The sequence below is a fragment of the Homo sapiens genome, chromosome X, assembly GCF_000001405.40.
Source record: "Homo sapiens chromosome X, GRCh38.p14 Primary Assembly".
Lineage (NCBI taxonomy): Eukaryota > Metazoa > Chordata > Mammalia > Primates > Hominidae > Homo > Homo sapiens.
The window spans coordinates 55,438,459-55,460,264 of record NC_000023.11 but is presented as its reverse complement, the minus strand read 5'-3'; the positions used below and the strand labels follow the sequence as shown (position 1 = coordinate 55,460,264).

The following is a 21,806-nucleotide window of genomic DNA, read 5'->3' as shown; positions in this document are numbered from 1 at the left end:
CTTCTCTGACTTGGTGAGAAAGCAGGCCTTCGGGTAGTAAGGGTGTTTAAAAAGTCAGTGGAAGGGCAGTTCTGTAGTTCTGGAGTGTCTGTTCCACTTGGAGCTGAGCCAGCCTTCAGAGGAGAGGTCTGTTTTAAGCAAGACAAGGTCACAGAGAGGCCCTGCCACTCAGCCTCAGACTCAGAATCGAGCTCATGCACACTGAAGTAGCAGTGGCACACAGGAAACTGAGGCAGGTGCCCAGACATAGAGACTGTGGCTTCCGTGTGGTCATCAGAAGCTTCTGTGGTTCAGTGGGCAGGCTTGTTACCAGTGTAAGAGGATGCAAGAGTAATCCCACACTCTGACTTGCCAGCAGATGTGAGCTTTATAAGCCTACCTGGAGAGGCAGGCTGTCTCTCAAAGCTTTACTCTTCCAATTGTTTGCTAAGTGAACTTGGCCAGTCCAGCTGACCTCCTTGAGCGGCAGACCTCTCACAGGTAGCATGGTATTATGACACAACCCACCTAACGGGTTGTTTGGAGTGTTAAATGTTAGTAAAGTGCCCACAAGTGTGCCTCATGCATAGTAGATACTCAACAGACATGCAGAATCAACAAATAGGCAGGTGCCTAACCTCAGCTAGAAGAGTTCAGGAGGGCCAGAATGCCTAGCTGACATCTACCCACTCCAGTAGCTCCCTATTTTGCAACTCCTCCTGCATGCTCCAGCTCTCCCCTTGATACAAGTTCCCGGCGCCCTCCTGCCTACTCAAAGCTGCTGCTCCAAGGATGCTCTCTGCCACCCCTGTGCTATTGATTTCATGTCTCTCCACCGGGTGCTTGCCTTCAGCACAATGGTATTTCTTCCACCTGAAGTAAACCTTTTCCTGACTCCCTCTTTCCCCACCAGATGCCGCCTGATTTCTCTGCTCCCCATTGCTGCAAAACTCCTTGTGAAACTTGTCCATACTCATTGATTCCTCTCCTCCCATTCTCTCTTAAAGCTGTCCCAAGCAGGCTTTTTCACACAGTCCCCCAAAGAAGCTGCTCTTATTAAGGTCACCAGGAACCTCCGCACTGCTAAATGCAATGGTTAATTCTCACTCCTCTTCTTATTTCCCCTGACATCAGCAGTTTGAGCAGAGTGGACCGCTGGATGCCTCTTGAGACACTTTTATTCACATAGTTCCCAGGACACTCTTGGTTTTCCTCCATGCGTCACTGGTGCCAATTTCCCCATCTCCTCAGCTGGTGTCTCCTCTTCTTTCTGATCCCTTTATGCTGCAGGGCTCTGTTCGTGACCTTCTGCCCTCCTCTGTGTGCTCTCCCTCCCTAGCGGAGCTCATGTAGTCTCGTGGCTTTTAAGCGCCATCCACATATATGTAGGTATAGATCTTTCAGCCAAATTCCTGACTTGTATATACAACTGCCTACTTGACTCACATGGATGTCAGAGAGACAGCTTAACTCAATGTGTACAAAACTGAATTTTTGAACCCCTCCCCACCTACAAAGCCTATTCTCACTGCAGCACTCCCCAGTAGACTGGAATTGATACCAATCCCAGTCTACTTGTTGCTCAGGCAAAAAAAAACCCTGGAGTCAGCCTTGGTCCTCGCTGACATGCCACATTCAAACCATCAGGAATTCTGTTGGGTCTACCTCAAAATGTTTCCAGAACCTGTGCAGTTCTCACCATGTCTACAGACACCAGGATGGTCCAAACCACCATTATCTCTAGCCTGGCTTGCAGCAGTAGCTTCCTACCTGGTTTCCACGCTCCCACTACCCTCGCCTGAATTCACTCTATTCTCGGCATAGTAAGTAATCAAAGTGATCCCTTCCAAACGTGTGTCAGATCACATGACTCCTCTGTTCCACCCCTCACTGCTTCCCTCCTTCTTCCCCCCACATTTCACCCCAAGCAAGAGCTAAGGTCCTTAAAACGGCCTCCCAGGCCCTACATAATGTGGGATTCTGTTAATCTCTCTGACCTCATCTCCTGCTCTCGTCCTTTTGGCTCACTCTACAGCAACCACGCTGGCCTCTCTGCCATTTCTCAAACGTGGTAGTCACTCCCTGGCCTTAGAGCGTTTGCACCAGCTGGACCTTCTGCCCGGACAGTACTTTCTTTATATATCCGCAAGGCAAACCCTCTCACCTTCTTCATTTCTTTCCTCCAATGTCACCCCTCCAATGAAGCCTACCTGTGTACCCTTGCATATGGCAGTGAATGCTCTACTCCCTTTCTCTTCTCCCATTCTCAACGACCCGAATGCACCCTACCCTGCTGTGTGTTAGCTTACCACCACCACCACCACCACCTGCCCCACCCAAAGTGATTGTCTCCTTCTACCCTTCTATATAATTAGTAATGTAAAAGGTTTGCATTTTATTTTCTGTTTCCTTGCTCTTGTATGTACCATTCACGAGGGCCAGGGTGCTTGAGATTTGTTCACCTATGAATCCCAGTTGACTAGACTGGCACGTAGTAGACCTTAATAAGCACTCGTTGAAAGAGTGAATGGATGAATCATTGGATAATCACAACATGCAAAATAATATAGGCTACATTATTATTGAGACTACACAGGCCTCCGTGGTCCAAGTTACAGGAGGAATCTCAACCACTTCTCATGCGTTGCACATGTGGAGATAACATTGGCAACACTGGTGTCATTTGCCACAGGAACTGGGGCGGAAGTCGACCAGTCAAGAACTGGGCCTGATTTTCACTATCTGTGTATAGACTCTGCCTTCCCCTCCAAATCACCCTTGTGAGCTTTGCAAGCCTGTTGCATGATGAGCAGTGCAAGCCTAGAGCCCACTTCTCCTCCAGTCTCTGAGCCCCAGATTACTCCAGTTATTCTTCTATGTAGTCTTGGCTGAGCTGAGCCCCTCCTTTGACAAAGTGCCCTCACAGGGATTTTCAAAGAAATTCCATCTGCTCTTTGACATTTAACTGTTCCATGGCTCACGAGCCCTGGAGGAATCTGTGTACAGGTCTCAGCACATCTTCGTAAGAATCACCCTTCTCCACCTCCACCACGACTCCAAAATAATTTCCTCCAGAAGGCCAGAATTCTACCTTTCTGCCAAAGAAAAGAGTCGGGGGGATCCTGCCCGCTACCCACCTCACAGGAGCCAACGTGAGCCCAGGCCGAATCCAAATCTCCCTTTGGTCATGGCCATTGTCTGCTCTGCACTTGCCTGCTGGGGCCAAGGCCGCAACACTGGGCCCAAGGAGGATGCCCTGGAACCTGTCTTTTTTTCATGGGCAGATGCCCACTGTTTGCTGTCTGTCAGCATCTTATCCCGGTTGCTCTGCTCAAGGGAAGAGGTCTGCCAGTATCTTCTGCATTGGCAACAGTATCGGAGCAATGTCACAGGCTCAGAAACATTGTTGTTTGCTTGGTCCACCGTGGGAAAGCCAGGACCTAGGATTTTGAGGACTGATGGAGGGTGCTGGGTAGTTAAGTTTCTGGGGAATGTGTCGTGATGGGGAAGTCCACTTGTCTTGGAAGGAAATGCTCACTCCACACATATGATCCCTCAAAGATGCCTGGCAATAGGGCCCCAGCCCTTCCAAATAAAGGGACAGACTGCCACAGCTAATCCTGAAAGTGCAGATTAATTTTATTTTCCCACACCTCCTCACCTGACCCCGGCATGTTCCCTGTCACTCCTACCCTGCCATGTGTCCAAGTTTGAAAACAGAAGACTTTCCCAGCCCCAGCTGTCCTGGAGATGGAGTCTTTCCCTGTAGCATAGCAGCATGGGCTTCAGACTTGGCAGGCCCTGGGTCCACCTGCAAGGCTGCCAGTGACCAGCCAGCTGATCCTGGCAACTTGCTTGTGAGATCTGAGTTGGGGTTTTCTCCTCTGTAAACTCGGCCTGGCCTGGTGGCATCTCCCTTGCAGGACTACTGCAAAGTTAGAGACAATGCATGAAAACAGCAATCAAAGTGCCTGGAACAATTTAGGCACTCGGTAAATGCCAGCTGCCAAGTTTGCTAGGCTTTGGGCAGCTTGGGGCTCTCTATCCTTGAGTTATCCTAACAACTGGAGTGTTCTAGGACCCAGAAACTCAATCGCTTTTCAGAGGCATCCTTGCACCTAAAACTGCAGCTTTCCCACTTGCTTTGTGGAACCTCCGCTGGGGTGGGGCCAGTTTAGGTTTCAGATTTACTCAGCAAGAGGCTTGCACCTGGATGTCTCATCTGGATGCCCCGCAAAGCTCAAAGAATTTTTGTAAATGGCACGGTGAATGTTTTCTTTTTCTCTCCACCTTCCAGAAGCCCCTTTCCCTGCCTCTCCCTCACCCCTGTCTTTCATTTCACAGCCACCGGAAGTCCCGCCCTTCTTCAGCCTTTATCTAATCAAAGGAAGTTTAACTCTTTGCAGTACTCCTGTAGTGTGTTAGGGAGACTGAACCCCCAGGCCACAAGAGAATAAGCCTGGCCCATTGATCGCTTCCTTCTTGCGCTAGGGCAGGTCACCTGTCACCCAATCCCTTGTTTCCCAATCCCCTGCAGAGCCTCCTGCCTGAGGCCTTCAGGATTCCAGCAGTCATCTCTCTGACAGGGCAGCTGGAGGTATTCTCCCAGTCTTTCTCCTCTTATACTGCTGGTTCTCTGACTGAATTAAGCTTCTTGGCCCGTACTTGCAAAGAACCATTTTAGACCATTGGATGATAACTTGCCACCAGAGCCGAAGAAAGCATGGATTCAGACAGGGTTGGGGAAGACATTACCTCTTCCCCTGAGCTAGCCGGAGGAGCATCCTGTTAAATGGGCAGTAATCACACCGGCCTGGCAGAGATAATATGTGGCATGCCTCTGGGACAGGCAGGTGCTCAACAAATCTTTTTACTCTGCAGCTCTCCCACTTACTAGCTGACTGACCTGGGGCTGACTGACTGCTGTAAGCCCCCTTGGGTAAAAGGGCGGGTCGGGGGAGGAATGTAATCCGGCCTGGTCCCCAGAAGGATTGGATGCCGCGGCCAGGGTTACTCACACCTCTTCCCCTGCCTTCACGTGGTGTTTCTTTTGAGGACAGAGACCTTGAGAGTGCACTAGCAGGCAGAGACCGGCAGCAGGGTGGCCTAGAGGAAAGCACTGTGGGTTTGCAGGGAATGGACATAGGGTCTTGTCTAGGATCTCTCTCTTGCCACTTCTGTGGCTCTAGAAGAGAAAGTCACCGAGGAACCTGGACCTCAGATTCCCACCTTGTTTACCTCTGGAGGTGGTATTGATAAATACAGCTCCTCCCAGGGCAAAGAACAGGCCTTTTGATTTTCTGCAGCTCCAGTTTCTAACACACTGTCTGAATCCCAGAAGGCGCTCACCATTTTCTGGCTTGCTGAATGAATTTGGAGCTGCTGATGGGGTCATAGTTACTACTTTTGTTTGAAGCCTCCTTGGCCTGCAAGCTGAGGAGAGTGGGTCCCTGGGCCTTCTCCAGAAGGTCATTTGCTAGCCTACCCTGCACCTAGTGACGTTACTTTGCACACAGCTGGAAGCAGCGTGAGCCTGGATGTCAAGAAGGAAGAAGGTAGCCTGACCACTCTTTTGTGTGTTATAGCTGCTACCATGAGCCCCACAGGGCTAGGTTGGGCACTTGTCACTAGTGCTCCCCAGCAGGGGACCTAGTTCATGCAGTGCTTAGCTCTTGGAGAAAAGGTGGTAGGATTTGCGCCTGATCCCACATGACTTAGTATAGCATGGGCCATCGTGCCAGGTACCAATCCGGACTTACTCCATTGCCCCTTTGCCCCCTTGGACACACACACTTTTAAACAATGTGTGCACCCTAACGAACCATAGTTCCTGAGAGAAGTGCAAGGTTACCTTTCGGAGATGCCACAGGTGGAGCCTTTTCTCTGGCTCATCCAGTATCTCAGAAGTTCTGCTTTTTTATAGCCTTTTCTCGAATTATTTCAGGGTTGTTATTATTAACCATTTTTATTGTCATTAGTTTAAAGTCAGCCACAACACCCACCCTTTGAGGGTCTGCCCCGCTCACTTCTTCCCTTGCCTCATTCCTTGTTCTCCACTTTCCCCTTCATATAACCTTAACAGTTCGGTGAAGAGTTTATTTCCAAATGTCCACGCTACCTTCAGTGCCTCCATTTTTACTCCCTCCCCTTCTTCTCTATTATTTCCAAACCTCAGATTGTCCCCTCACCAAGATTTTCTGACGGTCTCATCTTTTTTTATTTCTGAAGTACCCCATGACAACCTTTTCCCCTGCAACCACCCCTTCTCTCTGCCCTCCTCCTCTCAAGATGATTTTTGTGTATTTTCTACTTCCGTGGCAGGCACCCTGTGATGTCCTCTTCTTTTTGCCAGTGCTCCCTCCCCTATGCTGGGTGGAGTATCCAATCAAATATCTAATACATAATATTTTCATCATATATTCTGATCGTATATTTCAGTCCCCCCCAAACTTATTTAAGTGTCTCTTGAATTTTCACACATCCTATGGTGCTCCCTTCCCCGGCCCACTCCCCAAGACAGGTCACATAAGGTTTTTTACATTTTCATGGCACTTCAGGCTCGTTCTCTATCCCAGCATTTACTGCACTGCCAGTTTACCTATTTTTCTTTCCCACATAATCTAGAACATTCTTTGGACCTGGAGGATGTGTACTAGGGAGTATCCCTAGAATCTAGACTGGTGCCTCACATAACAGGTGGTCAGAAAATGCGCAAGATGTACTATTCGTTAGGCTTTTATTTTTCTCTATGTTCTGCAGTAACTAAGGAAAATCATGGTAAATGTCAATCTTCACACAACAGCAGACACAAAGGGTTTCAGAAACGTCAGATATGAAGAAATCCTCCATCCTTCTTCAACATTTTACTGGGTATTTCAACTTCAAAAGAACAGCTTATTTCTATAAGTGCTGTACAAGATCATAGATTATGATGGAACGACTTCATTTTAGAACGTTAGCAAAACTGTTATACTAAATGTCAATGACAGGAAACAAAGAAAAAAATTTGTTCAATTATATTTTTAAACATATTGTTATTCTCAACAAACGGAATTTTAAAACGAATACAATTTTCCATTATCAAAAGCAAACACTCTATTTCGCAGTTGAACAATGATCACTGATCACAAATATCAAATACAGTGTCCCCCGCCCCCAATCGACATCATTTTCAACTTAGGACCCTGGCATCTACTCCTTGGGGTACCTGTGACTCTCTTTTACACCCCCAAGGGTCTGCCTCAGATCTACTTAAGGGGCGGAATAACCCCTAGCACCTGAATTGAGGATAGCCTCAACCTCTGCATCATCGTCCGAATCCCAGTCATAATTACAAGGCCAGTCTTTAGAGCATCGGTTACGAACCCTTGCCACAAAATGCATGACTTTCAGTTTGCTCGATTCCACGTGTGCTCGGGGCCCCCAGAAGAACTCATACTCCACCGGACTGCTACGGGGCACCGGTTTATAAATCAGGTACCCTCTGCGCACAAACTCTTCTGTGACGATCTTCTTCGGATCTCCAAAGATGCTGTGCTGACGTCCAGGCTGCATTCCTAACTTCCCCAGCACTTTCCAGACCAGAGCTTCCTTGGCGCTGTTGCCCATGATGAAGATGAGCGCTAATATAGACATCAGGAGACTTTTCTTGGTGCCCTGAAAATTGCTCCGGGGCACTGAAGGCTTTTGTGCTTGGGCAGTGCTCGAGGCTTCTTCAGGGGTGGTAGAGGCCTCCTCTGGAGTGCTCGGGTCTTCCTCGGGGCCGCTCAGGTCGTCTTCGGGGGTGCTCGCTACCACAGAGGCGGCCATAGGGGTCTCGGAGGCCTCTGAGGCCTGGATTTTGCGATTGTTGCGGTTCTCTTCTGCGGCTCTCGCATTACGGCGGCGCCGACTCTTTCGTCCCCGAGGCATGTCTCCTGCTAGAGGCTCAAAGCTTACAGCAGTCCTAGGGAAGGATGCTTGTAGCCTCTTCAGGAAGCAACAGCTTTATACCGTAAGAAGCTGCTGCCGCTGAAGCTACCAATGTCAATAGAGTCTTTGTAGCAATAAACAAGCCGTTCTCAGCTACAAAGGGTAGTTCCCACGCCAGCTGACTTGCGCGAGCAGCCGCCGCCAGCACTTGCCGCAGCTGCAAGCCCGCGAGAAAGCTCAGCAAAATTGGCCCCGCCTCTCCTGCCACGCACACTCCTAGCACCAAAGAGGAAGTAGGCTGGTCCTCCACAGGGACTTCCGCTAGCAGATAGGAAAAGGGGCAGGCAGCGACAGGGGTGGGACAAGGGCAGAAATGACAGCTAGAGATTGGAGGGGCCTGGAGTTTGCAGAAGAGAAAAAAATAGCTTAAAGTTTCTGTATTTTCAGCCTACTACAAACATTCCAAGATTGGCTCGACGGTCTAGGGAAGGAGTGCGTCGGCTCCATTCCCACTGACGACGGGCTGTGTGTGTGTTGGGGGTTGGGAGGCCAGGGGTGGCGGGAGGGTGTATTCTTGGAAGGAGTCAGCTGTCTCCAGCCTTCCTTTCCTGTCTTGGCTTACACAGCGCGTTCATTCACTCGCCCTGTTTTCAGAAGGCATTTGTGTGTATACTAATCAATTTGTGGTCCCATGTAGGACCCGGATAATATTGTTATGGCAGATGTGCTGGATGATGTGAGGAGATGGGACTGCAGAAACAAGCAGGGTGAAAGAGGTGCAGAGCCTTTAAAATGTGGTAGATATATGCACGATATATATACTGCCCTGCTTTTATACATACATACATACATACCTATATCGTGCATATATCTACCACATTATGTTTATATACAGTGCATATATCTACCACACATATATGTATGTATGTATGTATGAAAGCAGGGCAGTGACAGGATCAGAGGAATTGCATTTGTGCAGCCTCTCAGAAAAGCAAACTGTTTCCTGGCAGACCACATAGGAAGCAATTGGAATAAGAAGCACTGGGAACTAAAGTATGCCTTAAGGCTGTTGCCATGGGGATGGAGAGGCAGAAAGACATTTTAAAGGTGACCGTTGAAGGGCTTTGCAGACAGAATGGATGAAGTGGGGAATGTGGAGGGGATGATGGAGTTCAGATTGGCTCCAAGGTTTCTAGGCTCCAGTCTTCCTGGACTCCTGATTTATTTTGCTTCTTTCAGAGCATACTCTGAACTTTATCCACTGCTTGCTTTTGCTCACTGTTTGCTCTGCCTGACCTGTCTTCTCAGCCTTCTCCAACTATCTAAATTCCATTTGACTGCTCACAGACCTGTTTCTCCCTGAAGCTTGTCTTGATCTGCCCAAAAGGGTAATGAGTCCATTTTTACTCCATTGAGGAAAGCCCTATAACTAGCACTCTATATCTTTCTTATGTCATTCAAGGTATTAGTTTAAGCAAGTCACTTCTCTCTAAGCCTGTTTTCCCATCTATAAAGTGGGGCTAAAGTACAGCCCTCATAGGGTTGTGAGAATTAAATGAGATAAAAAATGAAAAGCATTTATTACATGGTAAGCACAGATTTTGCCTCTCAAGGTTTTCCAAGCGGTGTGTGAGTGTGGCATTTAATAAATGCGTGCTGAAGGAATTCATGATGGAAAAGATTTTATAGGTGTTCTTAACTGAACTCTTAAGAAACAAATGAATACTTTATGCCTGTCTTGCTGAAATTTTCTTTATAATTAGAGCCCACCGAGACCTCCTGTTGGGTAAGTTAGCAATAAATCAATTTGGTCAAGCAAAGAAAGCACCTCTCCAGGACACAGAGCACTCTTGAGCCAGCCCTCCGTTTGGGATAACCTTTGCACGCGTTCTGGGACATGACCTACTCAAAACAGTAGTCTGGCTCCATCTGCTGTCCCACATTCTGAGAATTCTCGCAGTTTCTGGTCCATTGATAATTGCTCTGAATTGTTTTTCAGTACAGGTATGAACTTATTTTACTGTTTCCAGGAATTTGGGTCTTGCATGGAAGTCTATAGCATGTACAATCCTACCCTCATGAAACAAAAATGGGAGGATTACTTTTGCAGTTTATTTGCTTGTTTTTAGCATGAATTTTTTTTTACTGCGACTTAATCTCAAACGTAGGGCAAAGAAGAGAGATTAATATTATAAACACCAATAGCTAGCTGTATAAAATTTAAATATTAGGCCCTACTTACTGTTTATCTTTTATATATTGGATATGGCAAAACCCTCCTATTACGTCTTCCCTGACCCACTCTGCTCTCTCCTTCCCCACTGTGCTCCTCTATAATGAAGTCAGCAATTATGCCCATGGAGACTTGTATATATTTGCTACCTACTTCTGTGTCTGTACACAATATAGAATCTCTTCCTTTATTTAAAGCACGTCTTCATAATGTATACATTGATCAACACTTTGGTTTTCCAGCTCAACTTTATATTTTTTATGTTTACCCATGTAAATACATGGAACTCTAGTTCATTTATTTTAATTTTGTACATTTCATCATTTTCAATTTATCCTGTTCCTAATGATCCACGCCTATGCAGTTCCCATTTTTCCAAAACAAAATAATACTCTTATTAATATTTGTGCGCATGTTCCCTATGAACATGTGCATGCATTTCTCTAGGATCAACATCAACGAGTAGGGTTGCTGATGTGTTGGCATGTATATGTTTAGATAGAACACATGGCTTTCCACTTTGTTTCATTTATAAAAATCAAACCATTCCATATTGAATTTCCAGGCAAACCTTTTTCCTAATTAATAATGAAATCTCCTCAATTTATACCTCTAATTCTTTCATTCTAGTGGCTGAATGTTATTCCTTGCAATGGATTTACCATAATCTCTTCAAGTGTCTGCCTGTTGGCTGGGCGTACTGTATTTCCAACTTATTTAATTTTCTTTTTCTATTATTATTATACTTTAAGTTCTAGGGTACATGTGCACAACGTGCAACTTTGTTACATAGGTATACATGTGCCATGTTGATTTGCTGCACCCATTAACTCGTCATTTACATTGGGTATTTCTCCTAATGCTATCCCTCCCCCTACCCTCCACCCCACGACAGGCCCCAGGGTGTGATGTTCCCCTCCCTGTGTCCAAGTGTTCTCATTGTTCAATTCCCACCTATGAGGGAGAACATACAGTGTTTGGTTTTCTGTCCTTGTGATAGTTTGCTCAGAATGTTGGTTTCTAGCTTCATCCATGTCCCTACAAACGACATGAAATCATCCTTTTTTATGGCTGTATAGTATTCCATGGTGTATATGTGTCACATTTTCTTAACCCAGTCTATCATTGATAGACAGTTGGGTTGGTTCCAAGTCCTTGCTATTGTGAACAGTGCCACAATAAACATATGTGTGCATGTGTCTTTATAGTAGAATGATTTATAATCCTTTGGGTATACACCCAGTAATGGGATCACTGGGTCAAATGGTATTTCTAGTTCTAGATCCTTGAGGAATTGCCACACTGTCTTCCACAATGGTTGAACTAATTTACACTCCCACCAGCAGTGTAAAAGCTTTCTTATTTCTCCACATCCTCTCCAGCATCTGTTGTTTCCTGACTTTTTAATGATTGCCATTCTAACTGGTGTGAGATGGTATCTCATTGTGGTTTTGATTTGCATTTCTCTGATAACCAGTGATGATGAGCATTTTTTCATGTGTCTGTTGGCTGCATAAATGTCTTCTTTTGAGAAGTGTCTGTTCATATCCCTTGCCCACTTTTTGATGGGGTTGTTTGTTTTGTTGAAAATTTGTTTAAGTTCTTTGTAGATTCTTGATATTAGCCCTTTGTCAGATGGGTAGATAGTAAAAATTTTCTCCCATTCTGTAGGTTGCCTGTTCACTCTGATGGTAGTTTGTTTTGCTGTGCATAAGATCTTTAGTTTAATTAGATCCATTTGTCTATTTTGGCTTTTGTTGCCATTGCTTTTGATGTTTTAGTCATGAAGTCCTTGCCCATGCCTATGTCCTGAATGGTAATGCCTAGGTTTTCTTCTAGGATTTTTATGGTTTCAGGTCTAACATTTAAGTCTTTCACCCATCTTGAATTAATTTTTGTATAAGGTGTAATGAAGGGATCCAGTTTCAGCTTTCTACATATGGCTAGCCAGTTTTCCCAGCACCATATATTAAATAGGGAATGCTTTCCCCATTACTTGTTTTTGTCAGGTTTGTCAAAGATCAGATGGTTGTAGATTTGTGGTATTATTTCTGAGGGCTCTGTTCTGTTCCACTGGACTGTATCTCTGTTTTGGTACCAGTACCATGCTGTTTTGGTTACTGTAGCCTTGTACTATAAAGTCAGGTAGCATGATGCCTCCAGCTTTGTTCTTTTTGCTTAGGATTGTCTTGGCAATGTGGGGTCTTTTTTGGTTCCATATGAACTTTAAAGTAGTTTTTTCCAATTCTGTGAAGAAAGTCATTGGTAGCTTGATGGGGATGGCACTGAATCTATAAATTACCTTGGGCAGTATGGCCATTTTCACGATATTGATTCTTCCTACCCATGAGCATGGAATGTTCTTCCATTTGTTTGTATCCTCTTTTATTTCATTGAGCAGTGGTTTACAGTTCTCCTTGAAGAGGTCCTTCACTTCCCTTGTAAGTTGGATTTCTAGGTATTTTATTCTCTTTGTAGCAATTGTGAATGGGAGTTCACTCATAATTTGGCTCTCTGTTTGTCTGTTGTTGGTGTATAGAAATGCTTGTGATTGTTGCAAATTGATTTTGTAACCTGAGACTATGCTGAAGTTGTTTATCAGCTTAAGGAGATTTTGGGCCGAGACAATGGGGTTTTCTAAATATACAATCATGTCATCTGCAAACAGGGACAATTTGACTTCCTCTTTTCCTAAGGGAATACTCTTTATTTCTTTCTCTTGCCTGATTGCCCTGGCCAGAACTTCCAATACTATGTTGAGTAGGAGTGGTGAGAGGGGGCATCCTTGTCTTGTGCCGGTTTTCAGAGGGGATGCTTCCAGTTTTTGCCCATTCAGTATGATATTGGCTATGGGTTTGTCATAAATAGCCTTTATTATTTTGGGACATGTTCCATTGATACCTAGTTTATTGAGAGTTTTTAGCATGAAGGGCTGTTGAATTTTGTCGAAGGCCTTTTCTGCATCTATTGAGATAATCATGTGTTTTTTTGTCATTGGTTCTGTTTATGTGATGGATTATGTTTATTGATTTGTGTATGTTGAACCAGCCTTGCATCCCAGGGATGAAGCCAACTTGATCATGGTGGCTAAGCTTTTTGATGTGCTGCTGGATTCGGTTTGCCAGTATTTTATTGAGGATTTTTGCATCAATGTTCATCAGGGATATTGGTCTAAATTCTCTTTTTTTGTTTTGTCTCAGCCAGGCTTTGGTATCAGGATGATGCTGGCCTCATAAAATGAGTTAGGGAGTATTCCCTCTTTTTCTGTTGATTGGAATAGTTTCCGAAGAAATGGTACCAGCTCCTCTTTATACCCCTGGTAGAATTCGGCTGTGGATCCGTCTGCTCCTGGACTTTTTTTGGGTGGAAAGCTATTAATTATTGCCTTAATTTCAGCAATAATTTCAGTTATTGGTCTATTCAGAGATTCAACTTCTTCCTGGTTTAGTCTTGGGAGGGTGTGTGTGTCCAGGAATTCATCCATTTCTTCTAGATTTTCTAGTTTATTTGCGTAGAGGTGTTCATAGTATTCTCTGATGGTAGTTTGTATTTCTGTAGGATCAGTGGTGATATCCCCTTCATCATTTTTTACTGCATCTATTTGATTCTCTTTTCTTCTTTATTAGTCTCGCTAGTGGTCTATCAATTTTGTTTATCTTTTCAAAACACGAGATCCTAGATTCATTGATTTTTTGACGGATTTTTTGTGTCTCTGTCTCCTTCAGTTCTGCTCTGATCTTAATTATTTCTTGCCTTCTGCTAGCTTTTGAATTTCTTTGCTCTTTCTTCTCTAGTTCTTTTTATTGTGATGTTAGGGTGTCGATTTTAGATCTTTCCTGCTTTCTCTTGTGGGCATTTAGTGCTATAAATTTCCCTCTACACACTGCTTTAAATGTGTCCCAGAGATTCTGGTATGTTGTGTCTTTTATCTTATTGGTTTCAAAGAACATCTTTATTTCTGTCTTCATTTCGTTATTTTCCCAGTAGTTATTCAGGAGCAGGTTGTTCAGTTTCCCTGTATTTGTGCAGTTTTCAGTGAGTTTCTTAATCCTGAGTTCTAATTTGATTACACTGTGGTCTGAGACACAGTTTGTTGTGATTTCTGTTCTTTTACATTTGCTGAGGAGTGCTTTACTTCCAGTTATGTGGTCAATTTTAGAATAAGTGAGATGTAGTGCTGAGAAGAATGTATATTCTGTTGATTTGGGGTGGACAGTTCTGTAGATGTCTATTAGGTCAGCTTGTTGCAGAGCTGAGTTCAAGTTCTGGATATCCTTGTTAACCTTCTGTCTCATTGATCTGTCTAATACTGACAGTGGGGTGTTAAAATCTCCCATTATTATTGTGTGGGAGTCTAAGTCTCTTTGTAGGTCTCTAAGGACTTGCTTTATGGATCTGGGTGCTTCTGTATTGGGTGCATGTATATTTAGGATAGTTAGCTCTTCTTGTTGAATTGATCCCTTTACCATTATGTAATGGCCTTCTTTGTCTCTTTTGATCTTTGTTGGTTGAAAGTGTGTTTCATCAGAGACTAGTATTGCAACACCTGCTTTTTTTTCTTTTTCTTTCTTTTTTTTTTTTTTTTTTTTTTGCTTTCCATTTGCTTGGTAGATCTTCCTCCATCCCTTTATTTTGATCCTATGTGTTTCTCTCCATGTGAGATGGGTCTCCTGAATACAGCACACTGATGGGTCTTGACTCTTTATCCAATTTGCCAGTCTGTGTCTTTTAATTGGGGCATTTAGCCCACTTACATTTAAGGTTAATAATGTTATTTGTGAATTTGATCCCGTCATTATGATGTTAGCCGGTTATTTTGCCCGTTAATTGATGCAGTTTCTTCATAGCATCGATGGCCTTTATAATTTGGCATATTTTTGAAGTGGCTGGTACTGGTTGTTCCTTTCCATGTTTAGTGTTTCTTTCAGGAGCTCTTGTAAGGCAAGTCTGGTGGTGACAAAATCTCTCAGCATTTGCTTGCCTGTAAAGGATTTTATTTGTCCTTCACTTATGAAGCTTAGTTTGGCTGGATATGAAATCCTGGGTTGAAAATTCTTTTCTTTAAGAATGCTGAATATTGGCCCACACTCTCTTCTGGCTTGTAGAGGAGGTTCTGCCGAGAGATCACCTGTTAGTCTGATGAGCTTCCCTTTGTGGGTAACCCGACCTTTCTCTCTGGCTGCCCTTAACATTTTTCCTTCATTTCAACCTTGGTGAATCTGTCCATTATGTGTCTTGGAGTTGCTCTTCTCGAGGAGTATCTTTGTGGTGTTCTCTGTATTTCCTGAATTTGAATGTTGGTCTGCCTTGCAAGGTTGGGGAAGTTCTCCTGGATAATATCCTGAAGAGTGTTTTCCAACTTGGTTTTTTTCTCCCTATCACTTTCAGGTACACCAATCAAACGTAGATTTGGTCTTTTCACACAGCCCCATATTTCTTGGAAGCTTTGTTCATTTCCTTTTATTTTTCATTCTCTAACCTTGTCTTCTCGCTCTGTTTCATTAATTTGATCTTCAATCACTGATACCCTTTCTTCCACTTGATCGAATCGGCTATTGAAGCTTGTGCATGTGTCACGTAGTTCTTGTGCCATGGTTTTCAGCTCCATCAGGTCATTTAAGGTCTTCTCTACACTGTTTATTCTAGTTAGCCATTCATCTAATCTTTGTTTCAAGGTTTTTAGCTTCCTTGTGATGGGTTTGAAGATCCTCCTTGGGCTCAGAGAAGTTTGTTATTACTGACCTTCTGAAGACTACTTCTGTCACCTCGTCAAAATCACTCTGCGTCCAGCTTTGTTCCACTGCTGGTGTGATCCTTTGGAGGAGAAGAGGCGCTCTGGTTTTTAGAATTTTCAGCTTTTCTGCTCTGGTTTCTCCCAATCTTTGTGGTTTTATCTACCTTTGGTCTTTGATGTTGATGACCCACAGATGGGGTTTTGGTGTGGATATCCTTTTTGTTGATGTTGATACTATTCCTTTCTGTTTGTTAGTTTTCCTTCTGACAGTCAGGTCCCTCAGCTGCAGGTCTGTTGGAGATTGCTGGAGGTCCACTCCAGACCCTGTTTGCCTGGGTATCACCAGCAGAGGCTGCAGAACAGCAAATATTATAGAACAGCAAATATTGCTACCTGATCCTTCCTCTGGGAGCTTTGTCCCAGAGGGGCACCCAGCTGTATGAGGTGTCAGTCGGGCCCTACTGGGAGGTGTCTCCCTGTTATGCTACGCGGTGGTCAGGGGCCCACTTGAGGAGGCAGTCTGTCCATTCTCAGAGCTCAAACACCATGCTTGGAGAATCACTGCTCTCTTCAGAGCTGTCAGACAGGGACGTTTAAGTCTGCAGAAGTTTCTGCTGCCTTTTGTTCAGCTATGCCTGCCTCCAGAGGTGGAGTCAGCAAGCCTTGCTGCGCTGTGGTGGGTTCGGCCCAGTTCGAGCTTCCCGGCCACTTTGTTTACTTACTCAAGCCTCAGCAATGGCAGTTGCCCCTCCCCCTGCTGGGCTGCTGCCTTGCAGATTGATCTCAGACTGCTGCACTAGCAGTGAGCAAGGCTCTGTGGGTGTGGGACCTGCTGAGCCAGGTGCAGGATATAATCTCCTGGTCTGCCAGTTGCTAAGACCATTTGAAAAGTGCAGTGTTTGAGCAGGAGTGTACCATTTTTCCAGGTATAGTCTGTCACAGCTTCCCTTGGCTAGGAAAAGGAAATCCCCTGACCCTTGGGCTTCCTGGGTGAAGTGACACCCCACCTTGCTTCTGCTCTCCCTCCGTGGGCTACACCCACTGTCCAACCAGTCCCAATGAGATGAACCAAGTACCTCAGTCAGAAATGCAGAAATCACCTGTCTTCTGCACGGATCACAGTGGAACCTGCAGACCTGAGCTGTTCCTATTTGGCCATCTTGGAACGGACCCACCCAACTTACTTGATTTTCTAAAAACAATGCTCCAATAAAATGCAATGCCCATTTTCTCAAATGGGAAATATTTCCAAAGGAGTATGAGAGTAAATTTTATCTTCAGGATGTTTGACAAATTATTTAATATTCTTCCTTCTACTTCAGTCAGAATAGACGTAATTTATGGATTTTTCTGAATCTTCAATAGGAAGTAGAGACTTGTCTCACTACATAATTCTACAATATATAAGCCTTGTTGAACATTACCCCAAAGGCACTGGATGGGCATCACTGAATGTTTTCCAGCAGGGAACTGAGGAGATCAGATCTGTGGTTTAGCAAAATCTCTTTGGCTGCAGTATGGAGAAAAATTGACTATGTGGGAGGGGAGAAGGGAGAGTGGAAGACCCTTATCCAGGCTACAGATAGTGGTGATCTGAAATAGAGTGAAGTGGAGAGAAGGAAATGAATACGAGAGATGTTTAGAAGACAGCATCAATAAGCCTTGTGGATTTCTTGGATCTTGGCAGTGAGGGAGAGAAACAGGTTAAGTGGGACACCCAGGTTCTGGCTTGGGTAGGAGATGAGATTCAGAATACAGGAGGAGAAGCAGGTCAGCTGCCTTGAGCTTCTCTTGGGTGCCTTGTCCTACTGAAGTATCATTGGATTTTAAATAGCTGCTTAAGCCACACTAATGCTCGGCCTCCCACAACACACAGTCACAGAGCAAAACAAGGTGCAGCCTGCCTGCAGAATTGTGGGAGGGCTGGGTATTGCCTATGACATTTGTATCTTGGAGCCAAGATTCTCTCTTTAAGCATGAGTAAACCCATACTCGGTTTCCCATGGACTCTTCTCAAAATGACAATTCTTAGAACCACAAATTGAGCCCATCATCATAGGCATGATGATGCTTCCTGAAATGCATCCTGGGGTCCTTTGGCATCTCAGGGTGCCGACATGCCCCAAGTGATATCAGGGGCAATCTGAACAAAAATGCCAAATGATTCAAGGCATTAAATAAGTCTGCATGCTCTTCTGTGGCTTTGGTGCCTACCACCAGTGCCTTTAGAGTAGCTTTTTTCGCTCCTCTTGGACATGCCTGTACATTTTCCTAATGGGAAGGCCACCAGTCCTTCATTCTTTCTCTTTAGGAGTGGGAATGAATCTGGAGGCAGACATGGGATATTTACATCCTCAAAATTTTAAAAAAATACTCAATTACATTAAAGTTTCCCCAGGCATTATCCGCTGCATCACTTATTCTTAGGCAATGAACAGTGGTTGCATTTCTTACTTCAACATATATCTGAAATCCATCTTATTAATATTCATAATATCAAGAATAAGTAACTTCCTTTTGCCATTCTTCATGTGCATTATCTCTAGGTGGTCACTGTCATTTGGATGCCCAATGTAGATATGAGGCATCTGAGGCTGTGACTGGCACAATAACAGACCTGGTATCAAATCCCTGACAGGCGATGGAGTCAGGAGTTTTGATGCACTTCCCCTGATGCCCCAGACATTGTTCTTTCCCTCTCTGGTTCATTAAAATGATGCTATTCCCACTAGCACCACCCTCCCTGTCTTACAGGGTTGTCTGTGTAGATTTATGCAGCAGACTCCTTCTTGGCTTTACCTTACCTCCAGCCTCTCCTAATCCAAGGGCCTCTTGGTCATAAGATGATCATAAGATGATCTTCCTAAGGAGCCACTTACTTGTTTCCAGTCACTAGCTTATATTCCTTAGATGCTGGGTTGTGTGCCTTGCTATCTCAATGGGGTTTGGCCCGTAGAACATCCTAAAAAAATGAGACATGATGGATCAAATGAGTGAACGAACAAATGAAGTAATGAGACAATATATATTCCCTCCTTAACATCTCTCACCTCGAGTCATTAGTGTGTTTGTCCCTTAGTCTCAGGTTTTCCCAGTGGATGAGCCCATAATGATCAAGCGGGGGAGACCTTCAGACTCAGCCCGCTGTGCATTTGCATGCCTGCATGCATGTAGTCATGTAGATGTGCACCCATTCATATGTGCACCAGCATTTGCTTGCTCACCTTTATCCTTGCTTCTGGTTCTATGTGAAGGTTCTGACACTGGTCCCTCTGAGATAGACCATCCACTCAGCACTTGTCTATTTAAAATTTAGCACATTTTACCGTATCAGACCTTCACAGAATTCATGAAGAGTGGGCATTCTCATTCCCTTCCTATGGATGTGGAAGCCCAGCATGTAGAAGCCTCACTTAGTTAGAAGCATGGACACAGGAGAGGAATGGGGGCAGGGTATCAACAATAATGGTGACCATTTGTTGAGCAGTTTGTCTCTGCCAGGCATTTTGCATATATGTTCCATTTATAATATAGTTACTGTGATGCCTATAATTCTAAAGATGAGGCATCTGAGACATAACAAGAACAAATACTTGTTCTACATATGTGTTAAGTTTTGTGACCTGGGTTCAAGCCCAGGTTTAATTGATGTCATAGCCCATGCCCTTATCATGAAGCCAAGAGTGGGGTGTGGTTGCAGACTGATGGAGTAGGGAGCGGTGTGTGTGTGAAGGATTGGGAGGTGCAAAAAGGCAAGGGGTTATATCCCAGCTGAGATAAATCCCACCTCCCCGAGAATCTTGAATGACTCTGAGGCCAGAGGTCATCTATAGGCCATCTCCAATTACTCCATAATTGCCAGGAGTCAACACTTCAAAAGTAGTAAAACACTTTGTAGCCTGAAAGGTACAGAAAGAATTCAACTCTCTACTTACAATATATTCACAGTTGAGGAGGGTGGGGATAGTTTGCACACATTCTTTTGGTAAATGCAGGTTTTGCCCTCCTCCTTCCTAAGTACATATGGCAGGGCCATCCTGAAAATTGTTATAGAAAGAGTACTCCTAGTTTGGAGATATGAATGTATCAGGGACAACCTGAAACTGTCACCTTAAGGACAATAAAGGGATGCCTTGTATAAGCAATTGAACAGTGGACACTGTATAAGGAGTAGTAGTGAGAAATAAAGGGCCTTTTAAACTGTGGTCAATAATTTAGAGTTATGGGGTTTTAAGCAGGTAAAAAAAATTCAGCTGAATAACTCAGAAACAATTCACTGCATATTATTAAGTGAAGAATTGTTTAGGGCAATAAGAATTATTATTAAGTAAAGAATTATTTAGGGCAGGGGTTCCCAATATTAAGGCAGCATATCAGGATTTTTTCTTTTGCTTAGTAATCAGGCTTTTATACAATTTCGTGTGTCAAGTTAAAAGAAATAATAGAAGCCTGATTACTAAATAAAACCATTTGTTACCTTGTAATTCAGGGGTTGGGGGTGGCAGGATGGTAATGGTGTTAGGAACAGACTCGGAATGGAAGCAGGAAGTTCTGATGACAGCATTTCAAAAGCTGAAATAAGAGCAAAGATATCCTCATCTGGAAATGGGTAGAGGCTAAGGAAAAAAGTTTATGGAATCTGGAATGTTGTACAAAATATTGAACTGACTCTATCACAGACTGATAGAGTTGAATTATATCTTATGGTCTTATAAGCAGGGTTCTAAACTCAAATACACACAGGCACCAAGAAGGAAATGTAAATATATTTTGCAGACTCGATGACATAGGAACTGAGGCAAACTCACAAGCACACTCTCTATCTAAAGTAGGCAGCAGCTGTTGCCATTTGCATGTCTTCTGTTGAGAAATGTCTATTCAGATTTTTTGTCCATTTTTAAATCAGATTATTAGACTTTTTCTATTGAGTTGTTTGAACTTCTTAGATATTCTGCTTACTAATCCTTTTTCAGGTGGACAGTTTGTAAATATTTTCTCCCATTCTGTGGGCTGTCTCTTCACTTTGTTGATTGTATCCTTTGCTGTGCAGAAACTGTTTAACTAGATGTGATTGTATTTGTCCATTTTTGCTTTGGTTGCCTGCACTTGTGAGTTATTACTCAGGAATTATTACTTGCCCAGACCAATGTCCTGGAGAGTTTCCCCAATATTCCCTATTAGTAGTTATATACTTTGAGGTCTTAGATTTAAGTCTTTAATCCATTTTGATTTGATTTCTGTATATGGTGAGAGATAGGAGTCTAGTTTCATTCTTCTGTATATGCATATCTAGTTCTCCCAACACCATTCATTAAAAAGACTGTACTTCCTCCAGTGTAGGTTCTAGGCATCTTTGTCAAAAATGAGTTCCCTGTAGATGTATGGATGTATTTCTGAGCTCTCTGTTTTATTCCATTGGTCTATGTGTCTGTTTAAATACCAGTACCATGCTGTTTTGGTTACTATCACTCTGTAGTGTAATTTGAAGTCAGGTAATGTGACTCCTGCAGTTTTGTTAATTTTGCTCAGGATGGCATTGGCTATGCTGGATTTTTTATGGTTCCATATACATTTTAGGAATTTTTTTTCTATTTCCGTGAAGAACGTCATTGGTATTATGATAGGGGTTACATTGAATCTGTAGATTGCTTTGGGTAGTATGGACATTTTAGTAATATTGATTCTTCTAATCCATGATCATGGAATATGTTTTCATTTTTTGTGTCCTCTTCAATTTGTCACATCAATGTTTTAAAGATTTCATTGTAGAGATCTTTCACTTCTTTTGTTAAGTGAATTCCTAGGTGTTTTATTTTATTTGTAGCTCTTGTAAATGGGATTGGTTTCATGATTTTCTCTTTAGTCTGTTCACTGTTAGCATATAGAAATGCTACTAACTTTTGTATGTTGATTTTGTATCCTGCAACTTTACCGAATTTGTTTATCGGT

At 43.7% G+C, this 21,806-nt stretch overlaps 1 protein-coding gene and 2 non-coding genes across 3 annotated transcripts, besides 2 other annotated features; 1 reads left to right on the top strand and 2 right to left on the bottom strand.

The window, feature by feature from the left end:
* On the bottom strand, positions 6,699-8,138 carry MAGEH1 (MAGE family member H1). The gene has a single exon (NM_014061.5). The coding sequence runs from the start codon at positions 7,888-7,890 to the stop codon at positions 7,231-7,233; it is 660 nt and encodes a 219-aa protein (NP_054780.2). The 5' UTR covers positions 7,891-8,138; the 3' UTR covers positions 6,699-7,230.
* Positions 7,676-7,725: an enhancer, noted in NCBI's record as "active region_29678". NCBI's record gives its function as "activates an Ori minimal core promoter by ATAC-STARR-seq in GM12878 lymphoblastoid cells {active_cell/tissue: GM12878}" and the evidence as "EXISTENCE:reporter gene assay evidence [ECO:0000049][PMID:35858748]".
* Positions 7,876-7,925: an enhancer, noted in NCBI's record as "active region_29677". NCBI's record gives its function as "activates an Ori minimal core promoter by ATAC-STARR-seq in GM12878 lymphoblastoid cells {active_cell/tissue: GM12878}" and the evidence as "EXISTENCE:reporter gene assay evidence [ECO:0000049][PMID:35858748]".
* Positions 8,683-8,770, bottom strand: MIR4536-2 (microRNA 4536-2). Its single transcript, NR_130469.1, has one exon. It is a non-coding gene; the product is annotated as a microRNA 4536-2 (primary transcript).
* Positions 8,683-8,770, top strand: MIR4536-1 (microRNA 4536-1). The gene has a single exon (NR_039764.2). It is a non-coding gene; the product is annotated as a microRNA 4536-1 (primary transcript).

Excerpts from the sequence above, each read along its gene's own strand:
- MAGEH1 (NM_014061.5), bottom strand. The coding sequence starts at position 7,890 with ATGCCTCGGGGACGAAAGAGTCGGCGCCGCCGTAATGCGAGAGCCGCA.